The sequence below is a fragment of the Homo sapiens genome, chromosome 13 (genome assembly GCF_000001405.40).
Source record: "Homo sapiens chromosome 13, GRCh38.p14 Primary Assembly".
Taxonomy (NCBI): domain Eukaryota; kingdom Metazoa; phylum Chordata; class Mammalia; order Primates; family Hominidae; genus Homo; species Homo sapiens.
The window spans coordinates 64,730,922-64,752,874 of record NC_000013.11 but is presented as its reverse complement, the minus strand read 5'-3'; the positions used below and the strand labels follow the sequence as shown (position 1 = coordinate 64,752,874).

Genomic DNA, 21,953 nt, shown 5'->3' with positions numbered 1-21,953 from the left:
AACCTCCGCCTCCCTGGTTCAAACGATTCTCCTGCTTTAGCCTCCTGAGTAGCTGGGATTATAGGCATCCAGCACCACGCCCGGCTAATTTTTTTTTTTTTTTGTATTTTTAGTAGAAATGGGGTTTCACCATGTTGGCCAGGCTGGTCTCGAACTCCTGACCTTGTGTTCTGCCCTCGTTGGACTCCAACAGTGCTGGGATTACAGGCATGAGCCACCGTGCCCAGCCAATAATTATGTGTTTTATGTGTTGTCCTGTAACTTGAAATATTTGTATGAAGCTAAGGTCTGACCTGTTCACTGCTATTGTGAGCTAGTAGTTGTGTACTTAGCACAGGATATGTTATAAAAATACTTTTGCTCCATATTTTTGAAACAAAAATGAAATGAGAGACAACAAAATTACTTTTACATTAAACATCTTCACTATGTTTCAAGCAATATTTTTGTTATAGAAAATGTATTTTTATTTCAAAAATTGCCTGATTTAACTTTTAATCATGCTAATCAACTGTCTACTTAAAGATCTAAGATGTTAAATCTTAAAGAAAATAATGTATATTTTTATAGAGTTAAGGTACACAATAATTTACTAAAGTATAAAATAGTTGCAGCTTGAAGATATACAAATACCTTATGAATATACATTTGTATCACTGATATTTTTTAATTGAAAAATTTTAAAAACTCTATCTGAGGGTTCTATTAGGTAGTAATAGTTAATAATGCATGTAGTCTTTCTGATTTTCAAGAATTTCCCTGAGAAAAGTAAATCATGTTTCCTGAAGTATGCTGAATATCTTTCAGCTGTTAGAGGTATGTTAATAAATTTATTTTAGGACAATTTTCTTCATGTTTTTATTAAAGGTCAAAATGTCTTATTTAACCTTATGACTTTACATGTAGGATACTGTCATTATTTGTACTCTTTGTACGAGGTTCTGTATAATGGGATTTTGTTATGTCAATATGATATATGACTTCTGCACTTTCACAGAATATAAAAAGCTTCACTCTACCTGTTAGTTGTCTGCTATCTACCCACAAAATGAACATTCTGCATTCTGCTGTGCAAAGTTATCAATATTTAACCAAAATTGACAGGACACTTGAAAACCAAGTGAACCAAGACTTATTACAGTAAAGCTGAAGGTCTTCTTTACATGACACACAACCCATAATAACCAGTGATCTATACAGCTGTTATGTACTTGGGTCACTCAAACAAATGGGAATACATTTTTGGCTTTCATGGGTAGATGTATTGCTATAACTCAAGGAGTTTGAACCAGAAAAGAAGTTAATTGCATTCGAAAAGAGCTTGAGAATTATTTTCTCCTATGACCTTGTGGATTTGCACAATGAGGTGTGATTTCCACAGAGATCACTACCACAAAGGAGTCCTAAAGGCTACAGTGAGTAGTAAATTTTAAATTATATAAAAGCAAAGCAGCCTGCTTTGTGCCAGTTTAGCGTTCCATTAAGAAAAGCTTCTGTAAAACCTCACCTGATGTGATGGTTAATACTGAGTGTCAACTTGATTGGATTGAAGGATACAAAGTATTGATTCTGGGTGCTGTGTCTGTGAGGGTATTGCCAAAAGAGATTAACATTTGAGTCAGTGGGCTGGGGAAGGCAGACCCACCCTTAATCTGGTGGGCACCATCTAATCAGCTGCCAGAGAATATAAAGCAGGCAGAAAACCGTGAAGAGAAAAGACTGACAAAGCCTCCCAGCCTACCTCTTTCTCCTGTGCTGGATGCTTCCTGCCCTCGAACATCAGACTCCAAGTTCTTCAATTTTAGGACTCGGACTGGCTCTCCTTCCTCCTCAGCTTGCAGACAGCCTATTGTGGGACCTTGTGATCCTGTGAGTTAATACTTAATAAACTCATATATATATATATATATATATATATATATATATATATATATATATATATGTAATAAACTCCTCTCTCTATATATATTTAGGGGAATATACATATATAATATATTATATATAATATATTATATATTATATATTTTTTATATGTATATATATCTCCTTTTAGTTCTTTCCCTCCAGAAAACCCTGACTAATACACCTGTCTTGTAAGCATAGATTTCCAGAAGAAAAACAGTATGAGCGTGAGTAGGGTTAATTAACAAAAATGTGATGTCAAGCAAAGGATATGGTTGTTATCCTGGGCACTAGTTTTAAAAAGAAAATATAAACATACTCAAAAATTTCAAGGCTAATTATGCAATTGAAAATAAAGAATCATATGCTAAATAATTTACAGCCTAAAATGAGCTGCAGAAATCATTCTCATTTACTTTTAACGTATTTGTTTATTGTTTAATTCAGTCAGTTACCTTTTTTAAAGAAAAGTAATTTATATTTTTTTTTCTTTCATTTCAAAAAAGTACAGGGGTCCGCCAGGAGGAACTAGAGCCAATTTAAGACAGATGAAGTTCCTGCCCTGTGGCTTTCTTCTGCTCTTGTTTCTTCCTTGGATTGCCACTGCATAGTTTTGTGTTTATATTTGCTTCTAACTTTATCATTTAAAAAAACCCTGAACTTCCAAACTGATATATTGGGCTTTGATGTATTCCTCTATTCCTGGATCAGTTTGCCCTTCTAGTTTTAACAAATTCTTGGTTTCAGATAAGCAAAACCAACCAACAAACCAACCCAAAAGCAAACAGACAAACAAACAACAAAATATCATCCCTATAGTGCTAGCTGCAGCTACAGAGATCTACCACGTGTCACCCTCCCCAAAACAGGGGCACTTTCTGGCATCAATTATCGGGTTTTCACTATGTGCCTTGCAGTAAGATTTGTATTCATCTTACCTATAAATCAATTGCAAAAGCCCAAATGTATTGGCTATACAACTGTATTATTTTACAGATTTAAAAACCTGATTAATTTAATGGAATATCATTGTAGAGGCAATAATAAAAATAATTGTTTTGCCTCTTCTGTGATAGAAAAAGTAAATTTGTTTTTCCCACAAATTATTTCTTCAGAATTTGAAAAGAAAGCTCACTTTTTACAAAAACTTTCATAAAATCAATGTTAAATAACTTTAATTGTTACAGAAGGGACAATATTCTGTTGAAAAAGTGCCGCTAAACCTCATTAGGTCACATTCTGGTTTCCTGTCTGTTTATCTTACCCTGGGGATTTCCAATCAGTTATTATGGTAATACATAGTTTTCAAGGAGCCCTGCTTTCCCTTTAATACACTTAACTGCTTGACCCCATTATCCGTTCCACCTAGAAGAGATGAGCTCAGGCAAGACGTTAAATCAGAATTTTATTAGGCCTGAGGTGATAACAAGAGTGTAAACGTGAGAGAGTACAACATCCACATGGGCCCTAACCTGCTCAGTGTGGCAGAGTCTTTTGTTATCTAGGATGTCCTTATACCTGTCTACCCCTACACAGAGGTATGTGATACTTATCTTCCTCATTTCAGTTCCTTGTCTTAACATCCATCTCTTTCCTGGGTGAATCATAATCTTTTCTGGAAAAGACACAGACTGCCCAATATCAGTATGCTTGACCGTAATTTGCTGAACTCAACCTTCCTCCTAGTGTTACATCTATGCTGTACTATGGAATTATTTTAAAGACTGGGTAACTGAATGACAAGGTAGAAGTACTGAAAAAATAAACTAAATGTAAATGAGAGAATAATGATTCCTGTACTGAATATAGAACAACAAACCGTGTGGTAGAAACAGTACGAAGAACATTTAAAGACATTTTCATGAGTCCAGGATTCTAGCTTTCCATGTAATCATATTGACCAAAGGGTTCATGTGCAATTCTTACCTTGATTTTCTTTACAGAGATTGAAAAAATACAAAATGATAATCTTTGTAAAAATTTGAAGTGTGTGAGGATTGCAACTGTTAGGTCAAATATGAAACTAATAGTTTTGTGGGTCTAAAATGGTCAAATTAAGCGATTGCCTAATGTTCAATCAAATGATTCATGAATCATTGAAGGGACAATGAATGACAATATTAAAATTCAGTTAAAATTTTAAAATAAACTGTGTCACAAGTTATAACTGGCAGTCAAAAAATTTGACTTCTTTATTACTACAAAATCATTGATGGAAAATCAAGGATTCCTCTCCAAACAAGCAATCATAACTATATAGCTTCAATTCCTTATTTACTATTGCACACCATAATTTATTAAATATTTACTTAATGAACACCTACTATGCTCTAGACAAGTGGTACTGTGTTACAAATATGAGAATAGAGTTAGTGAAGATCACTTGATCAAGTTCATGCAGCATTAAGGGGCAGAATTGGGACATATGCTTTTAATGACCTTTTTATAAATTTTTGAGCCATAGTTTCACTCTTTATGTTTTTTACATTTTGTTCAAAATGTAAAATTCATAAAATCTTCACACATAGGCCTTAAAAGCATTAATATTATGAGAAATAATCATTTATATAAATGTTATCACAAACATTTAAAAACATTTTTGTGATTCTTTTTGAATATATTATAGAAATATGTTGCGATGAGAAAATATTTTCAGTTATGATGAGAAGATCAAATTATCTCTCATTGTTTAGCACTATTCTACCTATACAATACATGACATTGTTATCTCTTTGTCTGCAGGTTAAATATTTTAGGATAAACAAAACTTACAAGTGTCCATAATTGCAGTTTTATTCTCTTACCTTTACAGAACAATAGTATTTCAAGCCTGCAAACAACTTTTCTTTGTGACTGATGTCACTACTATTTAGCCCTTCGAGGTTAGCATTTATTGATTTTGCTTTTGATTGGATCTTACCTACCTCGGTGCTTCAGTAAATTGAAACCTTCTGCAGTTCATGGAAGAAAGCTGAGAGCAAGGCTATGAGAAAATGTACACTGACCTCTATTTGTTTCAGACTATATTGGTAAAATCATTGTCGCTGTGTAACAGAAGTGACCTTGACTGAATTTGTGTAAATGTAATTCATAATATTCTATACAGCTGATGAAAAACTGGCCTTAAGAGGAAGAATTAAAATAATTTTAAAATTAAAAATACCAACACTTGTGCTATTTCATGCAAATATTGCATCATTTGTCACATGCATTAACTTCTGTACTTCCATTAAAGCCGTTCAACCTTCTATGTGAATATTTACCGTGTTATGGGCAATGTGCTTGTTGTGGGGGTTACAAAAGAGAATGTTGTGTGGTCTGCCTCTTACAGAGTTCACAACAATGTACCCAACTTACTTAAAAATTATGATATATTACAACAAATGAAAAACATCATGTGAACTGTGGGAGTACAGACTAGAGGGTCATCATATAAATTTTGGTGTAAACTAGGACTCTTTTATGGGTAAAATGAGAGTCATTATTAATAATTATGCTGCAGCAACAAGAATAAACAGGAATCGTATATTCAAAACTTGGATAATGGGCATGTTAGCTTAGTAGAGGTAGAAGACTTCTCAAAAAAAATTGTAATTTAGCCTTAAATTGGGAGCTATTCAAAGATAGAGAGAATACATAAACAGAAAAGAAATTCAAGGCATATGGCCCAGCATGAGCAGAAGCACTGAATTAAAAGAAAAAAAAAAAAGGACTTGGGAAACCTGCTGAAAAATACAGCAAAAGATCTAGTGGAAAATAAGATTGGATAGAAACAGACAAGATTGTGAAGACGATGTTCTGTTTTGTTAAATAATTTGATATTTATGCTGCCCAGGGATTCAAATGTAATTTAGAGCACAGTTAAATTCCCAGACTTTGCTGCTCATTAGAATCACTTGGGAAGCAGGTGCCGAGGTAGCACACTCTACTAATTAAATGACAATGTTCAGGGGTAGAATCCAGACAATAGTGTTCTAAAGATCTCCAGGTGAATACAATTTGCATTCAAGTTTGGGAACCACCAGTGAAAGCCATATCATAACTTGTTTCAAAGCACCTGGCAACTTTTAAGTAAAATATTCAGAACTGTGTCCAACTACATGGACCTTCTTTATATTTCTCCAAAATGCCAAGCAAGAATTTGAACACATTCACAGTGCCTGTTTATTCTAACTGGAACCTTCTTCAAGAAGATATTTTGTATGAGACTCTCTATAACTTTATTCAGATTTCTGTACGATATGAACTGTTCAAAGAAACATATCATGACCACTAAAACTAATATAGTAACTTTTATTCCTTTTTCATCCAATACACAAATGTATTTGTCTTCTTGTTACTTAGAGCTACCTGATATTATATATGCATTTATTTGTTTAGCTATTTATTTCTGCCCCAAACATTAGACTATGAATAATATATATTTTATATGTTATAATATATATTATGTATATTTCAGATAGCTTTGCCTAAAGAGTGCTTGGCACAGAATACTCAGTATATACTTGCTAAATGGATAAATCATTGTGAAAATAAGGGAGAGTAATGTAGCCATCCTATGTCTCTGATGCAGTTAGAATGTTCCCATTTTTTTAAAAACAGAGCCAAACCCCCATCAGTATTAAACTTGAATCCTATCATTTCTCTGTTGTATATTTAAAATTGATGTGAGAAAATAAACTTAATTTTCTTCTTTTTGAGGGATTATGCTAAGTAGAATGGAGCTTTGAAGTAATAATCTAGGATCCTTTGCCGAATTTGCTGAATTGGTAGCATGTTGTTAGGTTTCACCAAAAACAAACTGCGTTGGAAGCTGCATGACCCACAGATGGTAACCTCCCCTCTCATGAATCTGGGGTTCTGAACCAATGTGAGAATTCTGCCACAATTTTGTAATGAATATTACAGTTTTATTTATCTAAGATTTCCAGATATTGATAATTCAATTTAACTTCCATAGCTGTAAAATAAAAAACTAAAATAATCACATCCAGTTGTTGTCATTTAATGTATTTCTCCATTTCTGAGTTTGGATGCTCAGTTTGCTTTGTCTCTACTAATTGGTAAGATTTGACTTCAAGAGGTTTCTTGAACATCTTGTTAGTCCTCTAGGTCAAAAAACTACCCAGTTCCTTCATGCAGCTTCAAATAGTGGTAACATACTTCAGATACAAGTATTTTAATGTGGGTTTATAAAGTATTCTATTGAATATTGTAAGGTGACTGACACATGAAGAGTGAGGAAAGTAACATATTTTCCAAAATATTTATATGCGGAAAAATTAGAAATTTTCTGTCAGGCTGAGATGTAAAAAGGGCTCTGAAACAAAGCAAAATTAGACTCAAGCTGAACAATCATAGGCAGAACAGTCACTCTTCACTCTAACAGCAGAATCTGTTAAGAACTGTATCACTAAAATACTTTCAGAGACCTACTAATACGGCCTTGATGACTGAAGTTCATTTTTACCTTGTATTTTACCATTTCTCTATTTTAATTTTGAAATTTGTGTGACAAAAATGAATACAAATTAGTTGAAATAGAAAATTATTTTAAAAATACATATATTTATCAATGCATGCATGTATATATACACATATGTATTAATATATTATTCATTTAATCAACATCTTTTACCAAAGTCTAAACCTCACATGATAATATTTTTATATACTCTGTATGAATAATTTCTTTTTCTGAAACACTTGAACTGCCATCTCTAGAGTCAACCTCTGACAAGCATTATGATCAATGTACTCAGATGTCAGTACCCCCAAAAGATAATCAGTTTAGCCATTCTTCCTCTAAGTTTTTTGTGCATACACAGTGAAGTGAAAACAGTCTTTATCCTGCTTCCTCAGGAAGCCCCCACACCGTTTCCATGTTCCCATTTCATTCCTGGGAACCAATTTTTATGGTCTTCATCATACATGTCAAATTCTGCTAAATATTTGCCAACCCTTTAAATTTAAATGTTATAATAGAGTTCTAGGAGAAAGATTTAATTAGGGAAAAAATGGATACCTTTTCTACTATAGTGAAATCTTGCCAGCCTCATAAAACCCCAAATAATGATTTATTTCTCTTAAAAAATGAGCAACCTGAACCCAATAACTTTTGCAAGAATATGTGGCAAGGAATTAGGTTTGTTACTCTTAGGTCTCAAATACCAAATCTCCTTCTGTGCTTTTTTTGAGGTGGGGGTGAGGAGATCATTTTATTTAAAAAGTTTAGTGAAAATAAATTAACGTCAAAGCGGGATTGTTGATAAAATAATGACATAATTCTAATTAATTGCTTTAAAAGAGAAAACCTATAGATCTATAAGCCGAATTTAGCAAGAATATTAGTTTTGAAAATCTATTCATTCTTATTCATAGCAATTGCCAATTTTTGAAATATAATTTGCTTCATCCAGTCCGTTATGTAAAGACCTTGGAAGTCATCACTCCTGTCTTCCTCACAACAGGAAAAAATATTTAAAAAATAAAAATTACCAACTCTTCCTAAATGCATCAGAGAATTTAGATCACAGGGCAAACTCCTGCCAGAATAACTGGTAAGATGTATAGGCAGATAGATACAGAAAATCATGGTTTACTTGGAGCTGAAGCCCAGAAGTTAAAAGCCCAGAAGCAAAAGCCTGAAGCTGCAGCCAATGCTGGTAAGAACATCTTTAATAGTAATCGACAAATTTCTGGATGCTCAGTATAGACTAGCTTGAGAGTTAGCAATTCTGATGGAGCCCAGTCTTAGGTGAGCCCCTGTACATTTGGGTTTTATCTGCATAAGCTCTAGCTGACTCTTATTGTGAAGATGGGGGACAGAGGGAATTCCCTGGCGCTTCTACCAGGGAGAAGGGGCAGAGTAACTATTCTTAGAGTTACTCAGGCCCAGAGTTCTCTTTTTTCCTTAACAAAGCCTACCCTCAAGGAAAACTACCAAGGCCTAACCCACTGGAGTTTTACCCAAGCCTAACACCTGGGGAAAGGAAAATACCCAAATGCCAGGGCTCTCCAGGCTTTGAGGTGAAAAAAGGTAAACAGTCAACTCAAGCTCATTAAAAGATTAAGACTAATTATAGAACTACACAAAACCCTCCTCTGCCACACACACACATCTTACCGTCACATCAATATTGCCCCTTTATAATAAAAGGGTATAACAGCTAAAAATAACTGCAAACCTCAGGTCCTACTTAAAGAATCTCCAGGAAAACTCAAAGACAAATACAAAGACACTAGAGAAAATGTTAGCCTAAAATACCACAGCTACTGCAAACAGCCTAACTACTCACCAGATAAGTATAAAATATCACACTAAAGGACTGTCTACCTCAGTTCTATTTACTTGATAAATCATATCCCGCTTTGAACAAAAAATTGGAAGGTATGCTAAAAGAAAAAATTACAGTCTAAAGAGACAAAGCAAGTACCAAATTCAGGCTCAAATATAAAGATTTTAGAATTACCATACAAGAAATTTAAATATATATAATATGCTAAATGTTCTGGAAAAAGTGAACAGCATGCAAGAACAGACGAGTAATGTAAACAGTGTGAAACTCTAACAAAAAGTAAAAATGAAGTGCTAAAAATCAAAACATTTTAACAGAAATGAAGAATGGTTTTGATGGCTCTATCAGTAGAATGGACACAGCAGAGGAAAAACAAAACAAAACAAAACAAAAACAGTGAGGTAGAATATGTGTCAATAGAAACTTCCAAAATGGAAACAGGGAGAGAGAAAACAATTTAAAAGATGAAATAAAATTTCCAGCAACTGGGGGACAAATACATCCTTTCATGGGCTTATGGGCCATTTGTATACATTGTTTAAAGAAATGTAAATTATTATTCACTGACTATTTTTAATTAGTTTTTCTTATTATTATAGGAATGAAAGGGTTATATTTTATAGATTAAAGCCTATTACCAGATGTATATTTTGCAAACATTCTTTGATTATCTGAGTTGTCTTTTCAATCTTGATGGTATATTTTGAAGCACGAAAGTTTAATTTTGATGAAGTTCAATTTATTCTATTTTTGTGTTGCTTGTGATTGTTTTGTGTATGTTATAGCTATAAAGTCTCTATAAAAATCCAATTTATAAAGATTTACTCTTATATTTCCTTCTAATAATTTTATAATTTTACTTCTAACAGTTACATATTTCATCATTTTGGCTTAAATTATTTATGTGGTTTGAAGAAGGGCAACAGTTTCATTCTTTTCCATGTGGAAATACAATTATCCCATTTATTTTCCCCATCAAATGGTCTTGGTATCTATGTGAAAATTCATTTGCTTATAAACACAGGGTTTATTTATGATCTCTCCATTCTATTTTATTGAGCTGTGTCTATCATTATGGAAGTGTCACAATGTCTTGTAGCTTTTTAGTAGTTTTGAATTCAGAAAAGATAAGTTGTCTTTTTTCTTTCTTTTATAAATTGGTTTGGCTATTTTGGGACTCATGCGTATTAATTTTAAAATCGACTTGTCAATTTCTTCAGGAAAAGACAGCTAGAATTTTGATAGGTGGCAGGCACCTGTAACCCCAATTACTCGAGAGGCTGAGGCAAGAGAATCGCTAGAACCCAGGAGGCAGAGGTTGCAGTGAGCCAAGATCGCACCATTGCACTCTAGCCTGGGTGACAAGAGCAAAACTCTGTCTCAAAAAAAAAAAAAGGTGGCTGATATTGATGTTTCCTTAGACACTGCCACCAAATACATTAAATAAATCTCCCTAGAGAAAGGAACCCATGATGTGTTTACAGGAGCAACCAACAGTTGGTTTGCAGGCATCCTAAATGGTGAATGGCAAGCTTGGGTTTTCCAAGGGTTTCTAATCTTTATATTAATTCTAGAAGGTTTCTAAGATATTATGACTTGTGTTACCAGGGTAACAATAAAAATGAGTACTTCTTAAAATCAGGCTACTTTACAGTGCACTATGGTCCTTGATTGTTATCACACTCCAAATGAGGACTATGTCCATTTAGACCCTAATACTGTTAGACTGCCTATATTGTCTTAACCTTAATTCATTTAATTTGGTTTGGTTTGTTTCATAGGAACTCTTATTAAGGAGTATGCAATGGCATTTTGATGTGATCTTATTGATAATCATAACAACAGTCCCCCTCATGTGGTATATTCTCTCAAGTCTTAAATGTTTCAGATGCAGTCATCCATTGAGAGTGGAATGACCTCAAGAACATAACAAATCATCAAGAAATGGGTCAGCAAGAACATAAAGAATCATTCAGCTGGTATAGAGCTGTGACTTGTGAATTCCACGTTGACACCAAAGAAGACTTGTGAAGCTCCATACTGAAACTAAAGGAGACTTGTAAATTCTACCCTGAGACCAAATAAGTCTTTATGATGGTGACAGAGAGTGGCATCAATGCCTAAAGTTTTGGTCAATCTGTCTAAACTGAGAGGCTGCCAAAAAGAAGGGAATTTTTAAAGTAAACTAAATATGGCCTGAGAAGGACTCTGTACTTCTATATTTGAGTCCTTGTGGATGAACTATAACCTAACTTAATAGGCAGACAAGATTGAAAACCTAACTTAGGAGCATGTACCTGTAACAATACCTGAGTTTTGGCAATTCCCAGCAGCCATACTTCAATCACTCATATAGTAGTCTCAATTACATGTTTTAATGGCAACTCTTAGAAATTTTTAATTTTGGTGAAAAACCTGGTAAGTTATTTTAATTATGTAGTAGGAGTGGAGCTTAGGACACCAGACAGAAGTGCAGATAAGGTTTGACTCTTTCCAGCATAGGTAGGGGTGTGGCTAACTCCACATGCCCCCAGGCCTTACCTAGCTGTAAAGCAGACAAGTGGAACAATTTTCAAAAGCAAATAAGCAGTTTATGACCTTAAAGCATTGAGCAAACCTAATACCTGACCTGCCTAATTTAGACCAAATGTCTTCATTTTATTAATAATCTTTAAAGCTGTCTTTACTTCCCAAAGATTTGTAAAGTCACATTATCTAAAAGGCATTAGTTTTCATTTTTCTTTTAAAATATTTGATTTAAGCACTTATTTTTCTTAAAGTCAATTAATTAGAGCTCTTTTACATAAACATCACACACACAATACATATAACTACACAGACAGATAGAAGAATAACCAGAATTTATAAGATCTTTCATTTGCCAGTTTTAAAGTTGCTTAATTGGATTACTGGCTTTAGGGTGGAGTTCTTCAAGTAACAGGGCCAGGAAAACATGCAGTTTCTAGGGCCTAATAAGCAGGCACAGCTGGAAGACAAAAACAGATCTCCAAAATTTAGGATCTTATTTTTATATCACATCCTGGAACCCCCAAAAGAGAAAAATGCTACAGGAAAAGATAGTGCAATACCTTTACCGTGCACTTTATTGCATGGCAACCCTAAACCAATTAGCCCATTTTGCAATTAGCCCATCCCTCACGGAATTTTTATCCTTCAGTGGGACATGAGGACATTTCCATGCTTTCTAGGTGGCCAAGAGCATGCTTCCCTGATCCAAAGGTGCAAAGAGCTAAGTATTCCCTTATAACTGCCATTAGCCAGCCCTAACAGTCTATTGCCTACCTAGTTATTACACACCAAAGCTCTCTCATGGTGTGAAGTAATTTCTGACACCCCCAAACTAAAAACCATCAGATAACACAATACAAAACAGAACAGAGACTTAGGTTTTGAGAGGAACTTATTAACTTTCAATTCCTGGAGTTTCATGAGCAAAACAGAGATTTTTTCTCAAATCTTGGTCTGTGATGCCTTCTCTGTTTTTCCCAAAGACTTCCAGGCTATTAAAAGTTATCTTAGGGCCACTCATGTGTGCATTAAGAGTGGCAAGACAAAATGGAGAAAAATAATTCAGTCAACAAGAAGAAATAGAAACCTTTTTCCCAGAAAAACAAGGTCCAAAAAGAGAAAAAAACGTGAAGGCCTTTTAAATATACCTATAGCTTGGATATCCACTTTTAATTAAGCTGACTTTTAACCATAATGCTCTCTAAAAAAAAAATGTCCTTTTAAATTTTTTATTATGATACTTTTGCGAGGCCAAACAGCCAATATTTTGGGCTTTTAAACTTCACCAAAGGTAACCTAATAAGCGAAATCAACAAGCCTCAACTAAGGTTATGAATTAACTATGAGTGTATGAGGTATTTTCAAAGAGGTGGTAAGCAGATTTTACAAAATCTAGAGTCTTTCAAGGTAGCTCAAGGTAGGGAAAATTTAAGAAAGGAAACAAGAAGTTGTTCATGGAGGGGAAGAGAAGAAACAAATGGAAAAAGTCACAAAGATATTAACCAGGAAGTACTCAATATAAGATTGAACCAGGCTTTATAATGATAAAATGGCATCTAAAATGATAAAATGACAAAACCTTAGCTGGTGAGCTACAGCATTTGGGCAGGTTCCATTGCTTTTCCCAGAAGGAGTCGAGTCTAGAGTAGTCAATTTTGAACTTGCAATGGCTTTTATCTACTCAAGATAATTTTTAGAGCTAACTATAACATGAACCCCAAAACTCCTGTTCCCAAGATGGTGGAGACCAAAAGAAAGTACCACCACATGGTTACAAGTTCAAGCTCCCAAGGACAAAAATCAAGATAGAGACCTCATCCAGTTTTTTGTTTGTGTTGGGGACCTGCAGCAAAGTTTGTAACTGACCAGCTTGCTGGGCTGTCTTGAACAGCAAGCTTATGGGGTCCTAAGCCCATGTTCTATCCTAAGGTACCCCTCTTTGTGACAGAATGACACAGAAAGACAAATTCATAGCACAAAATACACTAGATTCAGTACAGCTTAAGACTAGCCTCATGAATCCTTTTCTCATTAATTAAACCTTTGCAAGAGATAGTGATTTTTATCATTCCCACAACCAGTTTGCACAGAGAGAGAGAGAGTAGTATTGCCTGAGGTAGGGTGGGGAAGGCAAGAAGCTCAGGGAGGCCAGAGAATGATTCATCCATTGCAGAGATATTGAATCAAAAATTCAGGTGACCACTTTTCAGTCACGAAGGGACTTTCAAGCAGTCCCATCAGCTCTCCAGCTCCTCCTTCAAGAAGAAAAATGTTTCCTGTATCCCATGATCCTGTGCATGCCTAATCCCATCACCCATTCCCATCAGCAAAAAGTACGAGACAGATTTTTTTTAATCAATTAGTCCCTTAAGCTTTTTATTTGCCTTTTGTAAAGTCTTAAATAAAACCACTGAAATTTTTTTAGAAACTTCTGCACATTAATAGGCATCCCTAGATGAGACTAATTTAGGAGCCCTCATTTTTAAATGTACATCAGTGTGTTGTTGTTCATTCAGAATGTTCCACAGCAAGTTATCTTTAGTAAGATTTTGCCATTTCTGTAAGACTTTGCTGCTTCTGGGGCCTAACATTTATGCACGTATAAGCCAGAAAGAACTCAGTTCTTCAGAAATTAAAGATCCCATTTTTATCTAAGGTAGTGTCTTTGCTCTTGGGTTTCCTTTCCCTTGCCAATGATTTTTTTTCTTACCTAAGCATACAAGAAAAATGAAACAAAGGGGTAGAAAACAAAAATCCCTGAGAATTTCCAAAAGCCAAATTTTACAATTCTTGCAATATTACCATTTACTGCCAATTTCTGTCTGACCCAGTCAGATGTAAGAGACCTCTAACTGGATCCAACCCAGTTAATTACCAGATCTAATCCAATTCTGGACCCAGTCCAGTTTCTGTCACAACTTCCAAACCCAAATTTCCAAAAGAAATTTGCTCAAAGAAACTCAGAGAGCTCAAAGCACAAATCCATGGAGTTTCAGACTCCTAGAGAAAACTTACCACAATCCCCAGCTGCCCTGAAAGATCAGCAGACACAAGTGAGTCCAGCAGGTACCTTGTTTGGTCACTCAGTGTTCTTGGGGGTCGTTAGAACCTCTACTTTGGATCCCACTTCTGACATCATCTAATGAAGGAAAAATTTCATCAGAATTAAATTTAAAGGAGTTTAATTGAGCAATGAACAATAAATGAATTGAGTAGACCCCAAAATCATAAAAGATCCAGAGGGAGACTCAAGGGATGCCTTATGGTCACAAGTTTATAGACAAAAAAAGAAGTGATATACAAAAATAAAAAGTGAGGTCCAGAAACAGCTGAATTGATTACAGCTCAGAGTTTACCTTATCTGGACACAATTTGAACATTCAGCAGTATATGACTGGTTGAAGTATGGCTGCTGGGACTGACCAAGTCTCAGTTATTGTTACGGGCACATACTCCTAAGTTAGGTTTTCAATCTTGTCTACCTATTAAGCTAGGTTATGGTTTGTCCACAAGGACTGAAGTATAGAAGTACAGATTCCTTCTCAGGTAATATTAGTTCACTTTAACATATGTTTAAAAATTACAAAGAAATCAGAAAAAAATATTTTTAGACATAATAAGTAATTATAATAAAGGCATAGGATACATGTGTAATATACAATGCCAATTGCTTTTGAGGAGTTGGAAACTGAAATAAAAGATACAGCACAGTTTTTGTTATCTCTAAAAAGAAGAAAGAGAACAAGAAGGTGAAAGGGAAGGAGATGGAAGAAGAGGAGGAAGAAATTTAACAAAATATTTACAGGATGTATATGGGGAAATCTACACAACTGTAATACAATAAATCAAAGCTCTAAATAAATGGAGATATATCATGCTCATGAATTTAAAGACTAAATATTAGGATGTCCTTCTCCCCAATTGCATCTATACATGCAATTCAATCTCAACAAAAATATCAGCAATTTACTTTGTGTATATCAACAAACTATTTTAAAGTTTATACAAAGAAACAAAGGACTCTAAATTACCAACATAATTTTGGAGAAAAATAACAAAGTCAGAGAAGTGATACTACATGACTGACCAGTAAGACTTCAAGACTTACTATTCAGCTATAGTAATAAACACAGAGTTGTCTTAACAAAAGTATACACAAAAAGACTAATGGAATAGAAAAATGAGCCCAAAATGACACCCACACTAGAACAGTCAACTTGTCTTTGCCAGAGGAGAAATGGAAATCTGACAATTGGTGCTGAAAAAATTAAATGTTCACATGCAAAAAAAAAAAAAAAAAAAAAAAAAAGAACACAGATCTTACATCTTTTGTAAAAACTAACTCAAAATAGATTATAAACCTAAATGTAAATGCAAATCTCTCAACTTTCTTAAAGATAGAATGTGAGAAAATCTATGTAACCTTAGGTTTCATAATGAGTGTTTAGATATAACACAAAAGCAAGATCCATAAAAAAACAGACAAGCTGGACTTCATTAAAATTGTAAACACTTCTGCTCTGTGAAAGATAGTGTTAAGGGAATGAAAATATAAGTCACAACTGAGATAAAATATTTGCAAAACACATGTCTGATAAAGTAGTCGTATCTAAAATATACAACAACCTAATTAAAAAGTGGACAAAAAATACAAAATGATAAAATACCTAGGAACACATCTGACAAAAGAGGTGAAATATTGCTATCAGGAGAACTACAAAACAGTGATGAAAGAAAGGATAGATGTCACAAATGAAAAAAAAAATTCAAGCTCATGGATTAGAAGAATAAATGTAGTTAGAATGTTCATACTATCCAAAGCAATCTATAGATTCAATGTTATTCCTATCAAACTACCAACAACATTTTTACATAATTAGAAAAAAAACTATTCTGAAATTTATATGGAACCAAAAAAGAGCCCAAATAGCCAAAACAATTCTAAGCAAAAAGAACAAAGCCACAGGCATTATACTACCTGACTTCAAATTATATTACAAAATGGCAGTTACCAAAACAGCATGGTATTGGTACAAAAATAGACAATGTAGATCAGTGGAATGGAATAGAGAACCAAGAAATAAAGCCACACACCTTCAACCAACTTATCTTCCACAAAGTTGACAAAAATTAGCAATGGAGAAAGGACTTCCTGTTCAATAAATGGTGCTGGGAAAGTTGGTTAACCATATGCAGAAGAATGAAACTGCACCACTACCTATCACTATATGAAAAAATTAACTCAAGATGGATCAAAGCCATAAATTTAAGACCTCAAACTGTAAAAATCCTAAAAGAAAACCTAGGAAATACCCTTTTGGACAAAGAATGTATGACTTAGTCCACAAAAGAAAGCTCAACAAAAACAAAAATTGACAAGTGGGGCCTCATTAAATTAAGGAGTTTCTGCAAAGCAAAAGAAACTAACAACAGCATAAACAGACAACCTACAGAATGGAAGAAAATATTTGCAAACTATACTTTCAACAAAGGTCTATTATCCAAAGTCTATAAGGAACTTAAGCAAATCAACAGCAGCAACAACAACACAAAAGTGAGCAAAGGACACGAACAAACACTTCTTAAAAGAAGACATACAAGCAACCAATAAACATATAAAAACATGCTCAACATCACTAATCATCACAGGAATGCAAATCAAAACTATGATTAGATATTATCTAACATAAGTCAGAATGGCTAGTATTAAAACAAGAGCAGATGTTGGCAAGGCTACAGAGAAATAGAAACACATTTAATTTTAATATGAACTTTATATATGAGCTTTAATATGAACTTTAACATAGAACTACCATTCAACACAGCAATCCCATTACTTGGTACATATCCACAGGAAAACAAGCCATTCTACCAAAAAGATACCTGTATTTATATGTTTATTGCAGCACTATTCACAATAGCAAAGACAAGGAATCAATCTAGGTGCCCATCAAAGATGGGTTGGAGAAAGAAAATGTGGTACATATACACCATGGATTACTACACAACTATAAAAAAATAACAAAATCACATCTTTTGCAGCAACATGGATACAGCTGGAGGGCATTATTTCAAACAAATTAACACAAAAACAGAAAACCAAATATAAAATATTCTCACTTATAAGTGGGAGATAAACCTCGGGTACACACAGACACAAAGACAGGAACAATAGATTCTAGGGACTCCAAGAACAGGAAGAGAGGGAAGGACTGGAAAACTTCTGTTGGGTGCTTCTGTACACCATCTGGGTGGCAGGATCAATAGAAGCGCAAATCTCAGCATCACAAAAAATATCCTTTTAACAAACCTGCACATGTAGCCCCTGAATCTAAAGTAAAAACTCCACATAAATTAAAAATAAAAACAAAAAAGTAGGTAAAAGATCTGAAGAGACACCTCAACAGAGAAGATATATAGATGGCAAATAAGGATTAAATAAAATTCTCACCATCTTATGATATGAGGATTACAAATTAAAAACAACAAAAGTTTACCTTTACATACATATTAGAATAGCTAAAATCCAAAACACTGACAGAACAAAAAGCTGGTGAAGATGTGGAGCTTCAGGAGCACTTATTCATTGCCAGTGGGAATGTAAAATGCTACAGCCACTTCGGAAGACTTGTGGCAATTTCTTTAAAAAATAAACGTAATTTTACCGTATGATCTAGAATCTATGCCCAAGTGAGTTGAAAACATATATTCATAGAAAAACTTGCACACAAATACTTGCAGCAATTTATTTATATATAATTGCCAATTATCAGTGACCAAGATGTCCATCAACATGTGATTAAACTGTGATACATTCAAATAATAAAACATTATTTAATAACAAGAAATAAACTACTAAGCCACTTAAATAAATATTGATAAGTGAAAGAAGCCAGTCTGGAAAGGCTATTTACTGTAGGATTCCCAATATATGCATTCTGGGAAAGGCACAGCTATACTAACTGTAAAAAGTTCACCGGTTGTTCTCGATTCATTGACAAAGTAGAAGCAATGAGTAGAGGTGCATGGAATTTTACAAGACAGTGAAACTATTCTGAATGATATATTCATGGTGTAGATATAGCATTATGCATTTGAAAAAACTCAGATCACTCTACAACATAAAAAGTAAACCCGACCCGGCGTGGTGGCTCACGCCTACAATCCCAGAACTTTGAGAGGCTGAGGCAGGCAGATGACGAGGTCAGGAGATCGAGATCATCCTGGCTAACACGGTGAAACCCCATCTCTACTAAAAATACAAAAAATTAGGCCGGTGTGATGGCGGGCGCCTGTAGTCCCAGCTACTCAGGAGGCTGAGGCAGGAGAATCTCTTGAACCCGGGAGGCAGAGATTGCAGTGAGCTGAGATCGCACCACTGCACTCCAGCCTGGGTCACAGAGGAAGAGTCTGTCTCAAAAAACAAAACAAAACAAAAACAGTAAGCCCTAATGTAAGCCACAGAATTAGTTATCAATATGTGTTAATATTGGCTTATCAATTGTGACAAATGTACCACATCAGAACAAGATGTAAATGATATGGGAAGCATTGGGTAGAGAAGGAGTGTAAGGGAAATTCTCCTCACTGTCTGATAAATATTTTATTATATCTAAAATTTTTCTAAGAAATAAAGTCTATTATTTTTTAAAATTGCTTCCATGTGCTTATGTCTATAGTTGCAATATAAAGAAAGAAAAATAATCATAAGGAAAATACAGACTTCTATTATGTTTGTCATGACTACATGTATTAAACACTAAATTGTTGCAGTACCTTGTAATTTTAATCTCAGTGGTTATTATTTATAGCATATTATTGCCACCAAGACAATGAATTATTTATTATGATTTTTATTCATTTTTTAAATTTGCCTACCATTTTGTTAAAATAACTTTATTGGGCACAGTGAGGAAAGGAATACAGTTATCTATAACTTTACTCCAAATCTTAATTAAGAAAATAAAGGTATTTTTAATAGAGTGAATGCTTGTGTCCCCTAAAAACTCATATGATAAAGCCTAACCCCTGAAAGAGATGATATTAGGAGGTGAGGACTTTGGAGGTCCCATTCACGAGGGTTCCTCTCTCATGACCTAGTTGTGAGAGTGGAGCCCTTGTAAATGGAAAAAAGATCAGAGTTCTTCCCTTCTACCATGTGAGGACAAAACTAGAAGGGGCCATGTACAAACCAGAAGACAGACCTTCACCAGGCGCTGAATCTGCCAGTGCCTTAAACTTCTCAGATGCCATAAATGTGAAAAAATAAATTTTTGTTGTTTATAAGATCCCCAGTCGATGGTACTTTGCTCTAGCATGCTTAATGAATGAGACAGAAATAAAAATTAATGAACAGTATGTTCCATGGAGGCAGTGATCTTTTATCTTCCACATGTTAACTAAAAGAAAAAATAAGATATTGATAGAATAATTCAAGTCCACGATATTTTATTTTTTCTATTTTTGGTTTCTCCCCTTATTCTGAATTCAGTAATATCAATTCCCTTAATAAATGATTAAGAAGTACTAAAATTGGTTTAGTGTTGGTTACAGGACTATTTTAATAAGTAACAGTGAAATTTATGCCTCAAGAAGAGAGAAAGTGAATAAGAAGTAGTAACGATGGCAAAAATGGTAGTGTTTGAAGGTAGAGACAAAAGGTTTTTAATAAATTTTTCTGAAACCCTATGGTTGGAGAGCCTTTGGAAATTGCCATAAAATAAAGAGGATACAAAATGAAGTTTATAGGTTATTGAAGCACTTACCAGCAGGACAAACATTGTTTACATGTAAATACAAATTTATTCACTATTAAGCAAAATGCCTTGCCTTAAAAAATGTTTTTGTACCTGTCAAAGAATTTTGTGGATATAGCCGCAGCCATTATTGCATATAACATTCAATGGCTTTATTGCAAATTTTTCTTTTTTAATGTATACACTTATTTATAAATAAAACTGAGAACAAACAGTATGAGGAAAATAAAGTTTTTTTCTATTGCATATTCTAATTACTCCATGACAAAGGATTTTTGTTTGTCGTTAGTCTCAAAATCTTCACTGTACTTTGGTTATCTTTGACCTTTTACATAAGATGGGGCTCTTGTATCTCAAATCATGTTCATCAACAAAAATCAGATTATGTCTTACTGAAAGGAATATGATGGATGGACTATGACAAGGGCAGCCAAATATGACACATTAGCTTCAAACTACTAAATGCCTTTGTACATGAAAACAAAATTATACAGTTGGTTTTAAAGGCTTGGGGAAAATAAATTTATAAACTATAACAAAGCCAAAGCTCCATTTGGTTTATCAAGCAATTATAATACTTATAAGCAAACAGATTGCAATTTCTCTAAGTATATGAGACTGTCATTATAATACACAGTTAACCCTTGAACAATGTGAACTTAGTGGCACCAAAACACTGTGCAACATTTAACTTTTGACTCCCAGAAAACTTAACTACTAATAACTACTTTTGCCTGGAAGTCTTACAAAAAACCAACAATTAGCACATATTTTGTATATTATAGGAAATATATACTGTATTCTTTTTTTTAAGTTCTAGGATACATGTGCAGAACGTGCAGTTTTGTTACATAGGTATGCACGTGGCATGGTGGTTTGCTGCACCTATCAATCCATCATCTAGGTATTAAGCCCTGAATGCATGCGATATTTGTCCTAGTGCGCTCCTTCCCCTTGCCCCCTGACCCAGTGACAGGCCCCAGTGTGTGATGTTCCCCTCCCTGTGTCCATGTGTTCTCACTGCTCAACTCCCACTTATAAGTGAGAACATGCGATGTTTGGTTTTCTGTTCTTGTGTTAGTTTGCAGCTTCATCCATGTCCCTGCAAAGAACATGAACTCATTCTTTTTTTATGACTGCATAGTATTCCATGGTGTATACGTATTACTTTTTTTTAAATCCAGTCTATCACTGATGGGCATTTGGGTTGGTTCCAAGTCTTTGCTATTGTAAATAGTGCTGCAATAAACATATGTGTGCACGTGTTTTTATAACAGAATGATTTATAATCCTTTGGCTATATACCCAGTAATGGGATTGCTGGGTCAAATGGTGTTTCTAGTTCTAGATCTCTAAGGAATCATGGCACTGTCTTCCACAATGGTTGAACTAATTTACACTCCCACCAACAGTGTAATAGTGTTCCTGTTTTTCCACAGCCTCACCAGCAACTGTTATTTCCTGACTT

General features: G+C 34.3%; 1 long non-coding RNA gene across 1 annotated transcript in view; it reads right to left on the bottom strand.

Moving 5' to 3' along the window:
- Window positions 1-14,860, bottom strand: part of LOC105370240 (uncharacterized) — a 59,720-nt gene extending 44,860 nt beyond the window's left edge. The window contains exon 1 of the long non-coding RNA XR_942030.1: window positions 14,745-14,860. This is a non-coding gene — a long non-coding RNA (uncharacterized LOC105370240). The remainder of the gene's footprint in view (window positions 1-14,744) is intronic.
- Between the last annotated feature and the right edge of the window lie 7,093 nt (window positions 14,861-21,953).